Source organism: Homo sapiens, chromosome 2 (assembly GCF_000001405.40).
Source record: "Homo sapiens chromosome 2, GRCh38.p14 Primary Assembly".
Taxonomy (NCBI): domain Eukaryota; kingdom Metazoa; phylum Chordata; class Mammalia; order Primates; family Hominidae; genus Homo; species Homo sapiens.
Window position 1 is genome coordinate 43,710,734 of NC_000002.12, and position 21,683 is coordinate 43,732,416.

The following is a 21,683-nucleotide window of genomic DNA, read 5'->3' on the forward strand; positions in this document are numbered from 1 at the left end:
TTTTGGTTAAAACTATAATGTAAGTTAGGTGTGTGTTGAGTAACTCCCACCACACTTTACCTTTCTTCCTTTATACTCTTCTTTCCTCATATTTAATCTCCTAGGTATTTTCAGCTGTCCAACTGTGAAGCTATTTTAAGGAAGGGTTATCTGGTAAATGAATTCTCAATAAGATGTTAGTTATATAATGTACTGTGAAATTCAGGAATGTTTGTATTTTAATATAGAATCTGAAAATGACAGTTCTTATATGAACTTCAGATGCCATAACACCAAAGTGGGAAATATATTGGTGAGCAGAGGGAGTGTGCTGCCAAGCAAGTCACACTGTAGGGGCAGCTGCTGCCCATTTTACTCACACATAAGGCCAGTCTTGCCAGAAATCTGTTAAATTTAAAACACAGGCTGTTGAGATATTCTAGTATATGTAATTTAAAGTCAGACACTTTATTTCTGAAATGTCTTCAATAACCATTATTTTCTTATATTGCTCCTTTGGAGGGTGGAGGACAACTTTGCCAGAAAGGTACATTATCAATGTTTCCAGTGATTTGTACCTGAAAACCTCTCAAAAATTTAGAAAGGAGAATCAAGGAAAGCTTTGTCTTTGGGCATGGCAGTTAAGAATCATTTGTAAGTTTCTGAAATTTGGAAAATTTGCAGTGTGGCTAATTTGAGACTGGAACATTCTGAGTTCATAATATCTAATCACATGTTCGTTCCAATAATTTATCTTCTTATATGCAAGATCTTCTTATTTTATTTATAGTTGATTTTGTCATTTGTATTAAGAAACCTCTTCTTTAGTTGCTAAAACTATGCTATTTTATTATAGTCTTTAATCATTCTGCTCCTCATTTCAATAAGTAGGAACCTGGCCGGGCGCGGTGGCTCACGCCTGTAATCTCAGCACTTCAGGAGGCTGAGGCAGGCGGATCATGAGGTCAGGAGATCGAGACCATCCTGGCTAACACGGTGAAACCCCGTCTCTACTAAAAATTCAAAAAAAATTATCCGGGCATGGTGGCAGGTGCCTGTAAGTCCCAGCTGCTCGGGAGGCCGAGGCAGGAGAATGGTGTGAACCCAGGAGGCGGAGCTTGCAGTGAGCCAAGATGGCGCCACTGCACTCCAGCCTGGGCGACAGAAAGAGACTCTGTCTCAAAAAAAAAAAAAAAAGAAAAGTAGGAACCTGTAACACATTTAAGCAAGAAAGGGAAAATGTGACAAATAAACAAGATATAAAATCATAACCCCAAAATTAGGTAAACTGGAGTAACAAAGTTATTTCCACAAAAATTTAATTGCTGTAATTCTCACAAAGTGGTTAAAATATTCTAACTGATATGGAGTCATTTATTTAGAAACTGGGACTTGAGATTTAGCATGTTTGCTTCTGTGTTAAGTAATGACGTTTGAATAATGAACAAGGAAATGCTAACAATCCTAAATCTTCACAGTTTTCTTTCCTATACCTTTCTCGTTGCATTCTAGTTGACCACTGAAAAACACACATACTATCTGACTGCAGATTCTCCCAATATATTGGAAGAGTGGATTAAAGTGTTACAGAATGTTCTTCGAGTACAAGCTGCCAACCCACTTTCCCTGCAGCCTGAGGGCAAACCCACCATGAAGGGATTGCTCACTAAGGTAGGAACCTCCTGTGCATAGCAATGTCCCAGGCAGCTATGGGCATGAGCCCATGATCGCTGAAAATGGGATGTCAGAGCATATACATATATTGAATATTGATATGATCTTGGGGATAGGAAAGGGTGTTTTTAAGTATGATGCCCAAGGCAAAAACTATAAAGATGAAAAGAAGACAAATTTGACTATAATATGTAAAAATGTAAAGGCTCTATTAAAAATTCTACGAGCAGAATTTTTAAAAGAAGGATTGAAAAACTTTGAAGAGGTATTTGAAACATGTGAAAACTGGTTAATATCATTAATATTTAACACGTTTTTTTCTAATCAGTAAGCAAACAATGAACACCAATTGGGGGAAAAGGAACAAAAGACTCAATGGGCAGGAAAGAGAGATCATCGAGGTTAGAAGGAATACAAATGATCAATAAGCATATGGAAAAACATTTTACTGTCACTCAATTTTTTTAAAAGCACAGATTGAAATAAGAGGTGGCACTTTTTAAAATCTGGTGAAAAGTAAGACGTTTTTACAAATTTTGAAACCTAGTATTGACACAGATTAAAAAATCTGCTAGTTTCTGCAATTACATAGGCAGTAGAAAAAAAAAGAAATCTGCTAGTGAGAGCATTACTCTAAAAGGCAGTTTGGCAATATCTTGGCTGAAGTGTTAACTTAGCCAATAATTTTGAGTGAACAAATCAATATCAAATCAACACACACACACACACACGCATATATATCTCCTTTGATCCAGCAATCTCAGTTTTAAAAATTTATCCTTAGGAAGTGGTCTTAATTTGCAAAAGATTTAATTATGAGATGTTCCTCACAGCATGTTTTTTTTCCTATTTTAAAAAATGAGGTATGATTAATATATCTGAAATGCACAGATCTTAAGTGTAGAGTTTGACTAGTTTTGAAAGCTATTTACTTTTGACTCTATCAAGATGCAGAACATTTCCATTACCCCAGAAAGATTCCTTGCACAGCATGGTTCATAATAAAGAAAAATTGGGATCAAATTAGATGTAGGGTAAGGTATAGCTTTAAAAAATGTTTGTACAACCATATAATGCTTTACTATGCAGCCTTTTAAATGTTGTAAAAGAATATCTAATGCTATAGAAATATGATGTATTGTTAGGTAATAAGTAGAGTGCAGTATTACATTATTATACCTTATTTGTTGTAAGTATTTATAGAAAAATGTCTGGGAAATATACCAAAGTATATTGGTTATCTCTGTGATTTTATTTATTTTTGCTTAATTCTGTTTTTTTTTTTTTTACAATGAGTAAGTATTGACTTAATATTATTTTTAAGTTTTAAAAAGTCCTATTGGTCACTTTTTGAAAAATACAACAAAATATGTATACACACATAATCACTCCTCATTCATGTACTCTGATTATGTAAGAGGTGGAAAATTAGATGGAAAGTAACTATGCTACTGTGTAGTTTATACTTATTATTAATGTGGGAATGTAGGTGGGTGTTATTCCATAATATTTAAAAAGACTGACCAACTATAGCAAAGGTAAAACTTAATTCACTATTGCATTAAACAAAGAAATATACTATGTACTATGTTTTTTCTAAAATACGACTGTGAAAATGTTTTCTTAGTTACTGATGGGTTAGGGAACAAAATATTTGCACAATACTTTTCCAGTGAACACACTGCTACTTTAAATCACATTCTTACTATAATTCATAATAATGAGCTATGCTCTTGTTTCAAGGACCTCATATGCATATCAAACCCTGAGAGTTTAAGATGATCCCATGGCTAAGGGTTTATTACTTCCCCCACAATTAGGATTTTGTTTGCTTGCTTGTTTTTACTTTATCAGCAAGGCATGTCAGTTTCTGCTCCTATAACATTTCTGCGATTCTCCACTTCCCATTTCACAATTGCATTTTAAATGAGTATGAGTCGATGGGATTCTCAGATGACTAAATCATTAGGGTTTATAGCCAGGATGCTTATTAAGTTTCCTTCCTGCCATTTGTGCTTGTCCACCCCCATATTTTCACCCTTAGAACCTTATGAGAGAACAGCTTCCCTCAGTTATTCTGAGTGACTTGTTCTGAGCTCACATTCAGGCTGCAATATGAGATACTGTCAAATTGCATTTGAATACCTTGGAGGGGAGGAAGTTTTCTCAGGTTGTCACATTGTTTTTATTAAGTACAGAATAATATAGGTAGATGCTAAGAACTTGACTAATTTGATTCTAGACAGTCACTCTTGCAATTTTTATTTTAATGCTTAGGAAAAACATTTTCTATATAAAAATTCAGTTCTTTAAAAAACGAAAATGTATTACGCAGTTACCACATGCAGCACAATGTGCTGAAAGATACTAAGATGAATAGGCCACTGTCCCATTCCTCAGAGAGCCTCATAATCTATTAAAAAAGAGGGAGACAAAAGCTTATTTACAATGATATAAAGTACAATTATTGAGATGTGTCAGTAATGACTTCTGAGAGAAGATTTACCTGTGCCGAGTCTTCAAGGAGGAGTAGGAGTTAGTTATACCAAGTGGGAATGGGTGGAGGGGTGGTACTCTAGGCTAGGAGACAGCGCGAATGAAGGCTTAGAGTCTTGAAGCAGTGGCTTATGCCTGTAATCCCAGCACTTAGGGAGGCTGAGGCAGGCAGATCACCTGAGGTCAGAAGTTCGAGACCAGCCTGACCAACATGGTGAAAACCCGTCTACTAAAAATACAAAAATTAACCAGGCATGCTGGCGGGCACCTGTAATCCCAGCTACTCGGGAGGCTGAGGCAGGAGAATCGCCTGAACTTGAGAGATGGAGGTTGAAATCAGCTGTGATTGCAATGTTGCACTCCAGCCTGTGCGACAAATGAAACTCCGTCTAAAAAAAAAGAAAAAAAGAAAAAAAAAATCTCGAAGCAGTGCCAGCTGCACTAGGAACAAGTCCTTTGGAGAAAAAGCTAGAGGGGCCTATGGATGGTGGAAAGCTATTTTTGTCTTTTTAAGGACTTTGGTCTTTATCCTGAAGGATATTTGAAACCCTGCAGGGTTTGTAACAGGAGCATGGGCATATTCATGTTGCTAACAGATTACTCTGCTAAGAGGAAGATGAATCAGTGGGAGGCAAGGTGGAGGTTCTAAGAACAGTTAAGGGAGTGGTTCCTATGAAGAGGATGAAACTCTGAAGGGGTTACAGGAAAAGAGAGGAGAGGATGAATTTAAATAATGGTAAGAGGTAAAATCTTTAGTTTGATTGAATTTGGGGTTAGGAAGTAGAAGAGATAAAGATGCCTGGTAGAAAGATGATAGCAGATAAGAGAGAGCTCAGGAAAGAGGAGCAGTTTTAGGAAGATTAGGTGATTTTGGAAGACATCAGGAGCTGGTAGGATGTCTTAGTTAAAAAGTCCAGCAGGCAGCAGACCACCAGTCTACATCGGAGAAGAGTGCTGGAGGGCTGGATTGGAGAGAAGGATTCGAGGAATCATCAGCATACATGTGGCAATTATGGGAAATTATGTAGGGCAGGGGAGAGCAGGGTAACACTTGTAAATTTAAGGGCACAGTAAGGAGATGTGTGCAGAGGTCTGAGAGTAATGCCTGTGACTGATCTAGTGTCACATGTGCTCAGAGAAGAAGGTACGTTGCCTTCAGTGGGTTGAAGGGTAAATGGGAGATTAATAAGTGAAGTATTTGAGTTTCAAGGACTATCTATACCTTTCAGTATGTTAGAATCAAGCTGGAGGGAACCTGGAGTCAGGAGAGGCATTTTTTAGGGTGGAAAAGATGTACCTTGAGTTCACAAACTAAGGGGAAGGCCCCTGGAAGAAGGGAGGAGGGGGATTAAAGACAAAGTCCAGAAGAAGTGGGTGGCTGGACATAGTGGGAAGGCACACTGGAAGGGCTGAAACTGGAGGAAAAGTGAGGAAGGGTGCAGAAAAGTATCTTAAGTTTGTAGGACATTGAGTGATATCATGTCTAATATCCTCAGTTTTCTTAATGAACATTATTCCGTACGACAATGTTATTTACTAAGAGTGGGGAAAAGGGTGGAGAATAATCATTCAGGAAAGTAGGATGTACCCAAGGATAAATAGAAGGCTTGGTAAGTATTATTGAAGGCCCACCAGACTTTCTGATTTGAGTTTTTATCGAATATTTTTCTCTAACATCTTCAGATGCCCAGAAAAAGGAGCAGAGAATTTACATTGTAGTGAAGTGAGGATAGTGGTTTTTTCTAACAGTTTATTATATAAATTTTCAAATATGCAAAAAAGCAGAATAATTTTACAGTGTACAACCATATGCCCATCACCTTGTTTCTACAATCAACATTTTACTTGCTTTACCACGTATCTTTCAAGATGATATTTGAAATTAATGTTTTATTATGGGCATTGCCAATGTATGTGAAAATAGAGGGAATAATATAATGAGCCCTCATATATTCATCATCTAGTTTCAACAGTTATTAATTATGGCTAATATTATTTCCTATAACCATCTGTCTCTTGTCACATTCTTCACTAGATTATTTAAAAGCAAATGGAATTTTGTTGAGTGGATTTGTTAGAAGCAAAGGAATACAGCATAATCACAGGCCCTGGAGCAAGAGTTGTTTCGTGATCAAACATGGAAACCCAAGTTGGCAGAGAAGGACATGGGGCCAGGAGGGGACTGATAAGCTAGAATAAAATGGAAGGATCAAGGGGCTTAAAATTATGAATGAGGTAAAGAACAAGAGTGTGGGCCAAGCATGGTGGCTCATGCCTGTAATCCCAGCACTTTGGGAGGCCAAGGTGGGAGGATCACCTGAGGTCAGAAGTTTGAGACCAGCCTGGCCAACATGGTGAAACCTTGTCTTCTCTAAAAATACAAAAATTAGCCGGGCATGGCAGCACATGCCTGTAATCCCAGCTATTCAGGAGGCTGAGACAGGAGAATCACTGAAACCCAGGAGGCAGAGGTTGCAGTGAGCCAAGATTGTGCCACTGTGCTTCAGACTGGGCAACTGAGTGAGACTCCACCTCAAACAAACAAACAAACAAACAAACAAACAAACCCAAGAATAGGAGTGTGGTAAGTGAGAGGGGGAGGGAAGTGGGAGGAATTGGGAGGAAGTTGTGATCAGAGAATAGAAAGTAAATTGCAGAAGTGGAGCAGTTCCCAGTGAAGGAAAAAGGATTAGGGTATGGCTGAGGGGATGGGTGGCAAAAGTGGAGGGACAGCAAAGGTTACTGGAAGTGAAGAGAGCAAGGTTGTGGAGACAGTGTGGCCAAGAGGCAAGGGCAAGGATGGGAACAAGACTGCCTGGGCACAAGTCCTGGCTCTGCCACTTACCACCTGTGTGACCTTGAAGAAGTTACTTACAGGCTCTGTGCCTTAGCATCCTCACCTATAAAATGGGGATAATAATAGAGCCAACCTCACAGGGTATTGGGAGGATTAAGTGAATTATTTAAACATATAAATTGTGTTAGAACAGTGCCTGGCACATCATAAACACACCAAAAAATGCTAGCTATTATCATCCAAGAGTTTCACCTTGATAGTGAAGTCAGCAAGGCTGGTGGCAGGATTTGTGGTGGAGAATGCTACAGGGATGGGCTTATGGGGAAGGAGAGAATACCATAGGGGCTTATGGTTTGTGCAGTGGCAAGGGCTAATTGGGATATGATATACTGTTTGTCTTCAAGATTTCAAACAAAACCAATAGAAACTACCTTTGTCATGGAAGCATGGTAAAAAATTATTCTTTTAATTAGATCACCTTGAGATTTGAGGTTGCCTTTAAATTTTCGTGAGGATTCTTCCAGTATAATTTGTTTTCTAGTTTTTTAAAGAGTAAGTCAGAGATTTAAGAAATTCTAGGCCAGGCACAGTGGCTCACAGTGGTAATCCCAGCACTTTGGGAGGCCGAGGCGGGCAGATCACAAGGTCAAGAGATTGAGACCATCCTGGCCAACATGGTGAAACCCTGTCTCTACTAAAAATACAAAAATTAGCTGGCCATGGTAGCACGTGCCTGTAGTCCCAGCTGCTTGGGAGGCTGAGGCAGGAGAATCACTTGAACCCAGTAGGCGGAGGTTGCAGTGAGCTGAGATGGCGCCACTGCACTCCAGCCTGGGTGGCAGAGCGAGACTCCGTCTCAAAAAAAAAAAAAAATTCTAATACAAGATTTATGTATAAAGATAGATTGTTAAAACACAGCTTTTACAGTGAATTGGCAAAGGTCTTCATTAATTTGCATTTCTTCGAAGGCATACATTGTTCTCTTTTAAAGATAAATCATTTCAGAAGTACACTGTCTATAGCCAGATGCATTATACTTCAGTTTTTATGAGACTTCTTTCTGAAGATTGTTTGAAGAAGAAAAGAAAAAAACACCCCACACAGCGCTATTTAAAGCTTCCAGGATATTTGTCTGTAAATATGTTTCTAAATTTAATTAAATTGAAACATGTCTCAAATGAGACATTTTTTGTTTTCTCTCAAACAGCATTCTAAATCCATCAAACCGTTAGGTGGTGGAGTTACTCATTTGCTTAAACCACAGCTTTGAAAGCCCAAAGGCTGACTGGGTTTATGAGTTTAAAAGAAAATGTGTTTTACTTTTTATTCATAGTGAGGACGGAAGCATTTATTGAGTAACTACTGTCATCCTTTATTTACATTTTCTCATTTGGTTCTCACAACAGCCCAGTTGTGAGCCTCTGCACTCTTGATGAAAATATTTAACATACTGCTGATTTAATTGTCTGTCTTCTTCACAAGGCTGTGAGTTCCCGAGAAAGAGACTGTATCTTGTTCAAATCTGTTACTCCAGGGCCTATATCACTTACTGACTATTCAAAGTTAAGAGCTAGATTCAAATTCTGTCCCAGTCACTTAACTTAGTACCTGATATACAGGAGGTACTCAATTTACAGTAATAGCTTTTAACATTATTTTATTACTTTGTATGATTACTTCTAAGAAGGCATCAAATGTTTTTGAATGAATGAATCTTTTACATTTGGGAAATTACTAGAATTCTTCAGGTTTTCATCTTCTCACTTCTTTTTTGTTTTTGAGACGGAGCCTGCTCTGTCGCCCAGGCTGGAGTACAGTGGTGTGATCTCTGCTCACTGCAAACTCCGTGTCCCGGTTTCAAGCAATTCTCCTGTCTCAGCCTCCTGAGTAGCTGGAACTACAGATGTCCACCACCACGCCTGGCTAATTTTTGTATTTTTAGTAGAGACAAGGTTTCCCCATATTGGTCAGGCTGGTCTTGAACTCCTGACCTCAGGTGATCCACCGCCTCGGCCTCCAAAGTCCTGGGATTACAGGCGTGAGCCACCGCGCACAGCCTTCATCTTCTCACTTCTAATGTTAGAGTGTTAACCTAGAGAGCCACAGGGCTATTGGAAATCTGTGAAATGTGGAAACTATGAAATATACTGGTGAAATTGTACTTTCTCTTTTTTTATGTTAATGCATTCATGGGGTACAAGTGCAATTCTGTTACATGCATTGACATTAGAGTGTTAACCTAGAGAGCCACATGGCTATTGGAAATCTGTGAAATGTGGAAACTATGAAATATACTTACTGGTGAAACTGCACTTTCTCTTCTTTATGTTAATGCATTCATGGGGTACAAGTGGAATTCTATTACATGCATTGATTGCATAGTGATTCTGTCAGAGCTTTTAGGATACCCATCACTCGTAATAACATACATTGTACCCCATTACATAATTTCCCATAATCCACCCCTCCACTCCCTTCTTTATCCATCTGTGAAACCTCAGTCCTAGGCATAGTGTTTGATGCATAGTAAACATTCGTTGTATGTTGAATGGTGAGCACCAAAGCAAAACTTGCCATTCTACTACTGTTAACAGGTAAATCTTTTTTTTTTTTTTTACAACTTTTATTTTAGATATAGGGGGTGCACGTGCAGGTTTGTTACATGTGAATATTGCATGATGCTGAGGTTTGGAGTACAGATCCCATCACCCAGGTAGTGAGCATAGTACCCGATAGGTAGCTTTTTAACCCAGCCACCCCGGTGCCCTCTACCCTGCTAGTCCACAGTGTCTATTGTTTCCCTATTTATGTCCATGTGTGCTCAATGTGTGACAGGTACATCTTAAACAGCACTGGACAATCTATTTGGAATATCACTTATATCTGGGCAAACTGGATGCCTATAGAAACTCAAATAGGGTGTATAAGCTATAATTTAAGGTGTCAGAGTTCTGGGCTAAACTTGTAATTCATTGAAATATGGTTTCAGGTAAAACATGGATATTCCAAGAGAGTCTGGTGTACACTAATAGGAAAGACATTATATTATTTTCGGAGTCAAGAAGATAAGGTATGTATGTATTTTTAATATGCCAATTGAAGTAACTTTTTGTGTGTTAGGGCTTAAACTTTTCCTTTTCTCTCTTCTCTTACTTTGTAAAACTTCAGAATCTTTATGAGGTTGAAATTTGGTATAATTTGGTGCAACTGAGAAAATCACACAAAGGTCTATCACCTACACCTACAAGGGTCTTGATTCTTAATTACAAGCCTTAGCAACTTTTAATTAATGCATCTTCTAAGACCTAGAACAGTCTTCTTCTATTCCCTCCCCACAACCATCAGTTTCTTATATTTTCCCAGGTTCTTACAGACCAGATAAGGTTGATAGAAGGAAGCAGCAAGTTAGGAAAGAAAACCTAAAAAGGAAAAGGAATCTATTTCTGTCCCAAGCCCTCAAATTCCCGAATACCGCTTATCTACCCATCCATCTGCCTGTTTATATTCTGTTTATTAATGTTTAAACTAATCCCCTCCCCAAAAGAATCTGAATTATTTTAAATTTCAGAATAAAAAGATGGGGTGTCTGCCCAAAGGTAAAACGCATGCCCAGTCATCATTATGGGTATTCTGTGTCACCTTTGGATAACTGAAGCTATAAAAATTGAACCAACATGGGCCACGAGTACTTGTATAACATAATGATGACTGCTCCTCTGAAGAGCAGCCTGTGACTGTTACTGTGTTAATGAGACTAAACTTCTTGGTCTAGTGACCACATGGGACAGTTAGTATTTCTCCTTCCCTTTTGATAGCCTACACTCTCAGGTCTGACCAGCTGTATTTAAAATACATGCCGTTATACTCAGTGTTGCTAATGGGGTAGAGATTAACGCAGTACAGCCATTAAAAACAATACTGAGGCCAGGCATGATGGCTCATGCCTATAATCCCAGCACTTTGGGAGGCCAAGAGGTGGGAGGATCGTTTGAGCCCAGGAGTTTGAGACCAGCCTGGACAACATAGTGGGAACCTGTCTCTACAAAAAATTTAAAAATTAGCTGAGTGTGGTAGTGTGTGCCTGTAGTCCCAACTACTAGGGAGATCAAGGTTGGAGGCTCACTTGAGCCCAGAAGGTGGAGGTTACAGTGAGCTGTGATTCGCACCATTGCATTCCAGGCTGGGTGACAGGATGAGACCCTGTCTCAAAATAAACAAACAAACAAACAATCTCTGAAGTAGTGTGGGAAAATGCCGACATACAAATGCTACCCGAATATGTACAATACAAAATTGTGCTGTCAATGTAATCCTAACTCATCAGTCAGGAAAACAGAAGCCACTGTACGTGTTACAGGTGTAAAAGATCTAATGCCACCCTAGGCAACATAGCAAAACCTAGTCTCTACTAAAAAAAAAAAAAAAAATTAGCCAGGCATGGTGATGCATGCTTGTAGTCCTGGCTACTTGGGAGGCTAAGGCAGGAGGATTGCTTGAGCCCAGGAGATTGAGGCTGCAGTGAGCTGTGATCATACCACTGCATTCCAGCCTGGGCGACAGAGTGAGACCCTATCTCAAAAAAAAAAAAAAAAATGTTAATATAGAATTGTGGACATACGTAAATATTAGAGAAGTTTTATAACTTACATAACTTTTAGAAAAGTTGTATGGGAGTGGTAAAAGTTAGGGAAACTGCCAATGAAGGTCAGAGAAGACAACACTGAAGATTTCTGGCCAAAGGACTGAAGGCAGCTGGTCCTCGAGGCTTCACTGGGAAGCTTCAGTGAATCTTACATGAGCCCCAACATCAGCCACCGTAGTCCCAGGAGAATAACAACTCTTCTACCCTCTCCTTCTAAACTTCAAGTAGATTCTCTCACAGGAAACTCTAACTGGGAACCATAACAGGGAAGGAGGTTCTGGCAAATACAGTTCCCAATTTCTCTGTAATTATGAGATCTTAGAGGATGGTGATTGGAAGGCCAAGTTTATAAATCTCAGTCTGACACATCTAAATAAAATAATTATCTGTGATCACAGTAATATGGATGGTTTCTTTCTTTTTAAAATCCTTTCCATACTTACCAAGTTTCTGTAATAAGCATGTGTTTTTATAAATAGAAAAATAATTTAATAAAAATGGATAGCATTGATCACAGAAGAAACAAGTCAGAAGAATGGATACATAAACAGAAATCCATTATAACAACTGGAAAAGTATTGAGAATATATGTGAATCATTATAGGCCTACTTCATTTTTTGCTATAAATATTTCCAAAAGAATTTGCTTTTAATCTGTATCAATGTCTTTTTTTATTAAATCAAAATATTTGAAACCACTAGGTCTGTTTGCTGCTTATCAAGGCATGGTGCATCCTTTGGTAAAATGAATAACCATCTTTAAATATTAGGGTGGATGAAACCTAGATTTTCATATCATTGTGCCTAAAGTACACAATTAGGTTAGTATTGTTATGTATTATCATAGTATTAATAGAATTTGTTTTCTTCATCCTATTATTAAAAGCTTGCTTTTTAGGAGAGGCGAAATTTTACCTCTACTTTCTTAGGGTTTTTGGCAGGCCTGAGAATTAAATTCACATTAAGACAGATTACAGGAGAAACATATACATTTATTTAAGTTTTACATCACAGAGGAGCCTTCCTAAGGCAATGAAGACTCCAAGACATAAAGGTGAACACTTATACACCAAACTGGACAAAGTGTAGTAAATTGTGAAAATGTGACAAGGCAAAGAGACTTGGGCTGGGGTAGTTACTTGGGTGGAGAAGTGAGGAGGAAGATAAGATTAAGTTTAACAAGGGTTGTTTGTATAACTTTCCCCAGGCTTCGGCTTCCCATCTTGACAAGAATCTTACTTTCCTTCTGGTAAAGGGAGGATATCTTTCATATAGGCGTTATGAAAGGCAGGTTCCCTCCTGCCTTTGGGAAGAAAACGCAGAGGGTCAGAACACCCTTCTTGCACCTGCTGCTTTTAAAAATGCCTTTAGTTCAAAATAACCCTTATGCCAAAGTGATATCTGTTGGGGTGGCAGATTCTGCCACCCTTCAGCTTTTGCTCTGAGTGAGATGACAAACAACTGGAGGGCTTTGAGCGGAACAGGGACATGATCTTGCCTGTGTCTAACAGGCACACGCCGACTGCTGATTAAGAATAGACCGGAGGGAATAAGGAGGAGATGGGTTAGGAGCCATTGCAGTAATCCAGGTGAGAGGGGATTGTGGTTTAGTGGTGCTGTGGACATGTGAGAGATGAACAGATTCTAGATAGATTCTGAAAGTCTTGTTGACAGGATTTATTGACTGAAAAGTCAGTATGAGAGACTGCAATGATGCCAAGGTTTTGGGTGTTAATAGCTATTAATAGAAAAGTAACATTGCCAACAACTTGAGATGGGGAAGACTGGGCAGAGCAGGTTGTCAAGGAGGACTTACCAAGGTAAGTCTGAAATGCTGTTAAGTTTGAAATGCTATCCAACATCTAAGTAGAGTTAGTGAGTCTGGAGTTATAAATTTGGGAGTAGCTAACATGCTGGTATTAAAGCCATGAGCTTAGATGAGGTCACCCAGAGAGTGAGCATAGATGGAAGAAGGGCTCCAGCACTGAGCCCTGAAACTTAGCATGTAAACGTGTGAGGTAAATATCCTTGTAGTTAGAATGAACTTTTTCAAAACTCCAATTGCAAACTTGGCCAAATATTTTAGAAGTTATAAATCTGATGCAGACCGTGTATTTTCCTGGAATAAAGGTACTAAATTAGAGCAAAAGTTTTACAACAGATAGGCCAAATATTCAACACACCAGATATAGTTGGTTTTGTCAATAAAAGCTTAGATAAAATTTAATATAAATTGGCTTTAGGAAGTTTTTCTTACCCTTAAGATGGAGAAATTCATGGTATTGTTTTGTGATATATAACAAAGAGCCTTGGAATGCTCCTCCTTTACTGGCATTTGGGATGATAGTTCGTTTTGCACTACCTATCTAATCTTGTTATTTTTTCTAGGAACAATATTTTTCTTTTCAATAAGCAGTTTTGAGACTATGTATACACTTGTCCTTTTGATCCAATAACTTAATCAAATTGCTGATCAATTCTGTGGGATAAAAAAGTCAAATGACTGTTTTGGTGAATTATGACTAGTTGCTTAACTAAATAATGGGTCATTTTGAAGCAGCCTCATTGTCTGGGGTAAATACCAAAGTTCTTGTTCTCAAGGACAAGGAGATCTGGGTCATGGACACACACAGACAGAGTGAGTTTAGAGCAGGAGTTTAGTAGATAGTGCAAAAGGAAAGAACACCTCTCCATCACAGAGAAGGGTCCCGAGTGGGTTGCCAATTTGTAGTAAAGATGTCAGGGTTTTTATAAATGGGCTAGCGAGGAGGGAGCTTGTAAGGAGGGGATATCTTATCCTCCTGATGGTTTAGTTGGAACCAGGTGTGCTATCTGTACAGAGCAGAGTTTTTTTTATCAGCTCTGTCTCATTCCGTAACCACATAGGCTGACTGTTAGTCTGTGTTTCTTTGTCCTGCTTATCTGGGAGGGAGAGTTTGTGTTTGTTGCCATCTTCTTGCAGCTGTAGGCACCCCCTCTAGTCTGCTTTTAGCTTCTCTATCTTAGTGTGTCCAAAGGGAAAAGAATGTGCTTATTAAGGCCCACTGTTTTATTGGGGGGCCCATTGTACAAGTGTGGAGTTTGGTAATTACCCAGGAGACCTTCCCCCCTCCTTCTGTGCCGAAGCTGTCTTATCTGTGTTTCACTGTCTGCTCTTTCAGGCTGCTTGTTGTTAGAAGAGAAGTGATTTCCTTGAACTGCCTGGGGTTAGAAAAGGAGCTATCTTTGAGCTGCGTTTTTAAAAAGGAAAGTTTTCTGCTGGGGACTTGCTTTACCCTAACTGTCTATCTAAATAATTTCTTTCTGCCTCCTATAAGAATTTTAGTACAGCTGAATCATCTGAACTACTGCATAAAAGTAGCATCTTGTTTTTTCCTCAGAAGTTAAATCTCTAATATGTATATGGTTCTTTCATATTACTTTTAGGCTCTTTGGTTGTTGCCACTACTTTTGTTACACTGTGGATAATCAAATTGCCTCTAGGCATCATTTTTAAAAAGGTATGTTATACTGATGCGGTGGCTCACGCTTGTGATCCCAGCACTTTGGGAGGCTGAGGCAGGAGGATTCTTTCAGCCCAGGAGTCTGAGACTGGCCTGGGCAATGTAGCAAGACCCTATCTCCAAAAAAAAATCATTTTTTTTTAATTAGCTGGGCATGGTGGCATGTGCCTGTAGTGCTAGCTATTTGGGAGGCTGAGATGGAAGGATCCCTGAAGCCCAGGAGTTCAAGGTTACAGTGAGGTTACTGATTGCGCCACTGCACTCCAGCCTGGGAGACAGAGGGAGACCCAACCCTGTCTCAAAAAAAAAAAAAAAAGGAAAATAAAAAATAAAGTAAAATTTTTAAAGGTATGCTTTATAAATTTAAAAATGAAAAGGACTATGAAATGTTTTAGTAGGAAAAGATTTAGAAAATGCCTTCCTCACAATTACTAATATTTACTTTAGTTTCCTTTAGGTCAGATCAAACTCTGGGAGGCTAAAGTGGAAGAGGTTGACAGATCTTGTGATTCAGATGAAGATTATGAAGCCAGTGGACGAAGTCTGTTATCCACACATTATACTATCGTTATCCATCCCAAAGACCAAGGTCCAACTTACCTCCTAATTGGATCCAAGCATGAAAAGGTATTCAAAGACTTATTGGTTGATTTAGAATGATGTAGACTAATATTATTCAGATATTGGTAATAATTATCAAATCAATTTAATGGAAATAAGGAAGAAAATTTTGCTATAGACTTTCACCTCTGTTTTCAGAGATTCTTTACCTCCCTGGAAATGAGCCTCGTTCAAATATGTCATTTTCTAATCCTGTTGGTAAGAGTGGTATCAAGGCTGAAATTAGTGCGTGGAAGTGGAGGGCTAAAGGAACTTATGTTAAAAATGTGGATCTCTCAGATTGAACATTTTTTGGTAAATCTAAGGACTCTGTTTTATATTTTTGACTAATTTTTAATAAAATTTGGCCTTAGATACAGTAGAAAATTAATTATTTTATGTATTATATGTACATGTAGTCATTTATGATAAAGGAGGTATCACAAATTAATGGGGAAGTAATATATCATTCAATACATATGATTATGTATTTCTTATATATTGAGGAAATTGGCTACTTAGGAAACATTAGTTTTTCATCTCATACAGATAGCAAAATAATTTCCAGATTATTATTTTCATCTCATACAGATAGCAAAATAATTTCCAGAATTTAAAGAGTTAAAAGAATTCAATGAAATTATTTTTTAAAAAGGCCTTTATCTGAGTTCTGAATCAGAAGTACTTTCTAAGAAAACAAAAGGGCGGGCTGGGTGCGGTGACTCACGTCTGTAATCCCAGCACTTCGGGAGGCCGAGGCGGGTGGATCACAAGGTCAGGAAGATCGAGACCATCTTGGCCAACATGGTGAAACTCTGTCTCTACTAAAATACAAAAATTAGCCAGGCGAGGTGGCGTGTGCCTGTAATCCCAGCTACTTGGGAGGCTGAGGCAGGGGAATCGCTTGAACCCAGGAGGTAGAGGTTGCAGTGAGCTGAGATCGCACCACTGCACTCCAGCCTGGCGACAGAGCGAGACTCCGTCTCAAAAAAAAAAAGAACAAAAACAAAAAGGCAGTGTAAGAAATCAGAGTGCAAATGGTTGATAGATTTGACTATACAAAATTGAAATAATTATTTATGTCAAATATTATCATAAATATGACTAAAAAGATAATACAGAAAACAAAATATTTCATGGATGGCTACTGTATCCTTAACATATAAACAACTCTTTATAGATTATTATTGTTACTATTGATCATTGTTTTTGAGCACATGTATCAGGCCAAGTGCTAAGTATATCTCTTCTTCATCCTTCCAATTACCCTCTGTGGGAGGTGACCTTATTCCCATTTATAGATGGAAAGACTGAAGCACTTTCCTGTGGTCACACATCTGGCAAGAGGCAGAGTTGATATTAGACCCCTATCTCTAACCACAGAGCCTGTGTTCCTGAACACTTGCCTCTGCTACCTCTCATATGATTTGAAAAGGACTATGTTTCTAGTAGAAAAATGGAAAGAGGGCCTGATGAACAACTTACTGAGGAATTTAATGGCTAATGAATGCTTACGCTCATCTGTAATCAAAGATGCGCACATTTAAAAATGATAAAGCTTTTATTGTCTCTGAGATTATCAAAGATTTAAAAAATTATGCTAGTGAAGCTATGAGGAGGGAAGCACTCCTATATACCACTGGTGAGAATAGAAATTAGTGTAAATGCTTTGGAAAGTACTTTGAAAATATGTTTCAAGAGTTCCTAAAAGTTTTCTCGCCCTAGTAATGACTCATAATTCTATTTCAAAAAATATATACTAAGAAAATGTTGGCCAGGCACTGTGTCTCACGCCTGTAATCCCAGCACTTTGGGAGGCCGAGGCAGGTGGATCACCTGAGGTCAGGAGTTCGAGACCAGCCTGGCCAATGTGGTGAAACTCCATCTCTACTAAAAATACAAAAAGTAGCTGGACGTGGTGACAGGTTCCTGTAATCCCAGCTACTTGGGAGGCTGAGGCAGGAGAATCACTTGAACCTGGAGGCAGAGGTTGCAGTGAATCGAGATCGCGCCATTGCACTCCAGCCTGGGTGACAGAGCAAGACTCTGTCTCAAAAAAAAAAAAAAAAAAGAAAGAAAAAGAAAATGTTAGTAAATGTAGCCAAAAATTTATGTATAGTTTGTTCAACACAATACTCTTTTTTTTTTTTTTTTTAAAACAGAGTTTCACTCTGTTGCCCAGGCTGGAGTGCAGTGGCGTGATCTCGGCTCACTGCAACCTCCGCCTCCTGGGTTCAAGAGATTCTTCTGCCTCAGCCTCCCGAACAGCTGGGACTACAGGCATGCACCACCATGCCCAGCTAATTTTTGTATTTTTAGTAGAGACGGCGTTTCACCATGTTGGCCAGGCTGGTCTCAAACCCCTGACCTCAGATGATCCACCCGGCTTGGCCTCTCAAAGTGCTGGGATTACAGGCATGAGCCACCGTGCCCGGCCTACAATACTCTTTTTAAAATAATTTTATTTTTGAAGTATTTTAAAGATGGAAAATATAACATTTCCTTTTCAGTTAACAGATGATAGCTGTCACAGTATTTTTTATCAGTGAGAAGTTAGTAACCATCATAATGTTCAGCAATAAGAAATTGATTAAATAAATATGGTGTGTCCATATGTGTAGTAGAATATCCTGCAGCCATTAAAACTTGTTTATAAAGAATTTCTAGCAACAAGGGAGTGCTTGTACTATATTACTAAAATTCAGAAATTATCCTCTACTTTCAGAATAATTCAACTATGTAAAAATTTAATCTACATATATATTATCATAGAGAAAAAAAGACCAGGAATCTTTGGTGAATGGGATAAGACGGGTATTATGTTTTCTTTAAATTTTCTGGATTTCCAAAATATTCTGTATGTATCACTCTGGGAGCCAGATTTTTAATTTAATAGAATTTATTTATTTTGTAAAAGAATATCAGCTGGTTGTATTTAGTCTCTTAACATGTGTTACTCGTCTTAATTTTGTCATGCTTTTCTAAAATGCATCTGAATAAGAAAAGTGTAAATAATGGGAAAAGGTAATATAAACACAGTTCAAGTGAGCATGCCTCAGAATTGTTTGAATAAATGGCTTTTCATTATTATTTAAAAATTAAAGCAAGTGGTTCATTTCCATCTCAAAGTTTTCTACTGTTTATGCAAGTTGTTTTTTTTTCTTTAATCAAAACTGTGTCTTAACATTTAATTAATATGTTCTGGTTTTAAGGACACTTGGCTTTATCATCTGACTGTTGCAGCTGGAAGCAACAATGTAAACGTTGGATCTGAATTTGAACAACTGGTTTGCAAATTGCTAAATATAGACGGGGAGCCTTGTAAGTTCATAAACATATAAATAAAGCTTTATGGTTAATGAAATGGACCTCAACCCGCTTAGCCTAATGGAGTTTTCACTTAATGGGTTCCTGTTTCCCTGAAATATACCCACCTTTTCATTGCCTTTGCTCATCATGGGAGAGAATTCTGTCTGTGGCTCTTTGGCTGCAGGGACACCATCATTCCTCATTAGTCTGTGTCAGGTCACCTCCCTCTGCCTTTGCTTCCACTGCTCCTCTGCTTGGAATGCCCCCTTCGTTGGCAGTCCTCACCAACATAATGAAACCCCACCTAGCCTTAGGAGATCCCCCAGCCAGCCCTCTGCAGCTCAGCATCTGGCTCATAAAAGGTGCTTCATCAATGTTAAAATTATGTCCTAATGCGTTTTGTCACTTAATTCTTTTATAGCAAGCTTGGCCAACCTGCAACCCACAGGTGGCCTGTGGCCCCAGATGGCTTTGAATGTGGCCCAACACAAATTCATAAACTTTCTTAAAACATTACAAAATTTCTTTGTGAGTTTTTTGTTTTTAAGCTCATCAGCTATCATTAGTGTTTATATATTTTATGTGTGGCCCAAGACAATTCTTCTTCCAGTGTGGCCCAGGGAAGCCAAAAGATTTATAGCATTTGTAGTTTTGCATTGAAATTAAGTTTTTGTTTTGTTTTTGAGACGGAGTCTCACTCTGTCACCCAGGCTGGAGTGCAGTGGCATGATCTCCGCTCACTGCAACCTCTGCCTCCTGGGCTCAAGCAATCCTCCTGCCTCAGCCTCCTGAGTAGCTGGGACCACAGGCATGCACCACCATGCCCGACTAATTTTTGTATCATTGGCAGAGATGGGGTTTCTTCATGTTGCACAGGTTGGTCTCGAACTCCTGAGCTCAAGTAATCCACCCACCTCAGCCTCCCAAAGTGCTGGCATTACAGGCATGAGCCACTGTGCCTGGCCTGAAATGAATTTTTATGGCTAAGGTTCCCCCACTGAGAGACTAGATTCTATCCTATGCTTTATACGCTAAGAGAGACCACATTTTATTTGCTGTGTCCAACACAGGAATTTAATAAATGTTGATTTTAGGAATGCCTTCAAGTTCCTCTTTATCTTTATATCTCTTTCTACTTTGGCTTCTCCTCTCTAGAGAAGTTCTAGATCTTTCCCCAGCTCTTTCTCATATATAGTCATGCCCCCTACCTAGGTCACCAATCTTTAGCACATTTAAGCAACGTGATAGTGCCCTGGTAGACTTATTGCAGCCTAGTAAATTAGGACCCAACTCTTCTAGATTATCCAAAACAGGAACATGTCTCACTCATAAATGGGAGCTAAACTGTGAGGATGCAAAGGCATAAGAATGACACAATAGACTTTGGGGACTGAGGGAAAGGGTGGGAAGGGGGTGAGGCAAATCAGTTTCAGTATATACTGCTTGGGTGATGGGTGCACCAAAATCTCACAAATCACTAAAGAACTTACTCATGTAACCACATACCACCTATTCCCCAAAAACCTATGGAAATTTTTAAAATTAAAAAAAACAAAACACAAAAAACAGTAACATGAGAATCCCAATGACCTGGCTACCAAAATAAAATAATGTTGCCAAAGAGTTTTTTTCTGACCTTTGTGACTTAAAGTTGTGAGCCAAGCCTGAATGAGCTAATGTCTAAAGGATTAATTTAATAAGAGGCCACAATAAGTGGTTTATTCAGTTTTCTGTTCATATTTTATTCTGCATTTAGCCTCTCAGATATGGAGACACCCCACTTTGTGTCACAGTAAAGAAGGAATCATTTCCCCTCTGACAACTCTACCTTCCGAAGCCCTGCAGACAGAAGCTATTAAATTATTTAAGGTAAAATATTTATATGTTGTTAAATGATTTAAGGTAAAATACTTATATGTTGTTAAATAATTGGAAAAAAATTAAAAATAACATTTTGGGTTACAAAATTTTACTCCAAGAAAATTCAAAATGTGTTTATTATTAAGAATATCATTGAAATAAAATTAGGTGAATTTCATATGCTTTCTTAGTGAGGATTTGGGATTTACTGAAATAAACTATTAATGTGTATGGTTTGGGCAATGTGAAATACTTGGTATCAGATGAATCATTTCCCCTTTAACCTCTAATTTTCCACATCACACCAGGCACAGCAATGGGAGAGGGGTCAGCACTCTCTCTCCTCTCTAGTGTTACTCTCAATTTCTTATTCCTCAATCTCTATTAGAAATCCCTAATCACTCAAAACTTGCCATGCAACTTCGCACTCTTTATCCTTCTATCCCTATCATCAGTTACCTTCCAGTAACTCTTCAGATTTCTTTAAGGGCCAGGTGTGGTGGCTTACTCCTGTAATCCCAGCACTTTGGGAGGCCGAGGAGGGTGGATCACCTGAGGTCAGGAGTTCAAGACCAGCCTGGCCAACATGGTGAAACCCCATCTCTACTAAAAACACAAAATTAAATGGGCATGGAGGCACATACCTGTAATCCCAGCTACTTGGGAGGCTGAGTCAGGAGAATTGCTTGAACCCAGGAGATGGAGGTTGCAGTGAGCTGAGATCACGCCACTGCACTCCAGCCTGGGCAACAAGAGTGAAAATAAGTCTCAAAAAAAAAAAATTATCAAAGAATTTTAGCTCCCAACTCACATTCTCTACCTG

At 38.7% G+C, this 21,683-nt stretch overlaps 1 protein-coding gene across 10 annotated transcripts in view, besides 2 other annotated features; it reads left to right on the plus strand.

The window, feature by feature from the left end:
• PLEKHH2 (pleckstrin homology, MyTH4 and FERM domain containing H2) overlaps positions 1 to 21,683 on the plus strand; it is a 130,728-nt gene that overhangs the window by 73,474 nt on the left and 35,571 nt on the right. For 9 of the 10 annotated variants that reach the window (XR_001738621.2, XR_001738620.2, NM_172069.4 and 6 more), the window contains 5 exons: positions 1,492 to 1,650; positions 9,936 to 10,016; positions 15,539 to 15,718; positions 18,904 to 19,012; positions 20,757 to 20,869. Coding sequence is in view for 8 of the 10 variants with exons in the window: in NM_172069.4 (NP_742066.2) it covers positions 1,492 to 1,650; positions 9,936 to 10,016; positions 15,539 to 15,718; positions 18,904 to 19,012; positions 20,757 to 20,869 (642 nt within the window). In the remaining 2 variants the exon portion in view is untranslated. Of the gene's footprint in view, positions 1 to 1,491; positions 1,651 to 9,935; positions 10,017 to 15,538; positions 15,719 to 18,903; positions 19,060 to 20,756; positions 20,870 to 21,683 lie in introns of those variants that run through there. The other variant, XM_047443343.1, reaches the window with a different exon arrangement.
• Positions 4,292 to 4,491: a silencer, noted in NCBI's record as "fragment chr2:43942164-43942363 (GRCh37/hg19 assembly coordinates)". NCBI's record gives its function as "represses an EF-1alpha promoter that drives an FKBP-Casp9 reporter gene in an ReSE screen in HepG2 liver carcinoma cells {active_cell/tissue: HepG2}" and the evidence as "EXISTENCE:reporter gene assay evidence [ECO:0000049][PMID:32094911]".
• Positions 8,204 to 8,404: a silencer, noted in NCBI's record as "peak3684 fragment used in MPRA reporter construct". NCBI's record gives its function as "represses an SCP1 promoter by STARR-seq MPRAs in K562 erythroleukemia cells {active_cell/tissue: K562}" and the evidence as "EXISTENCE:reporter gene assay evidence [ECO:0000049][PMID:32103011]".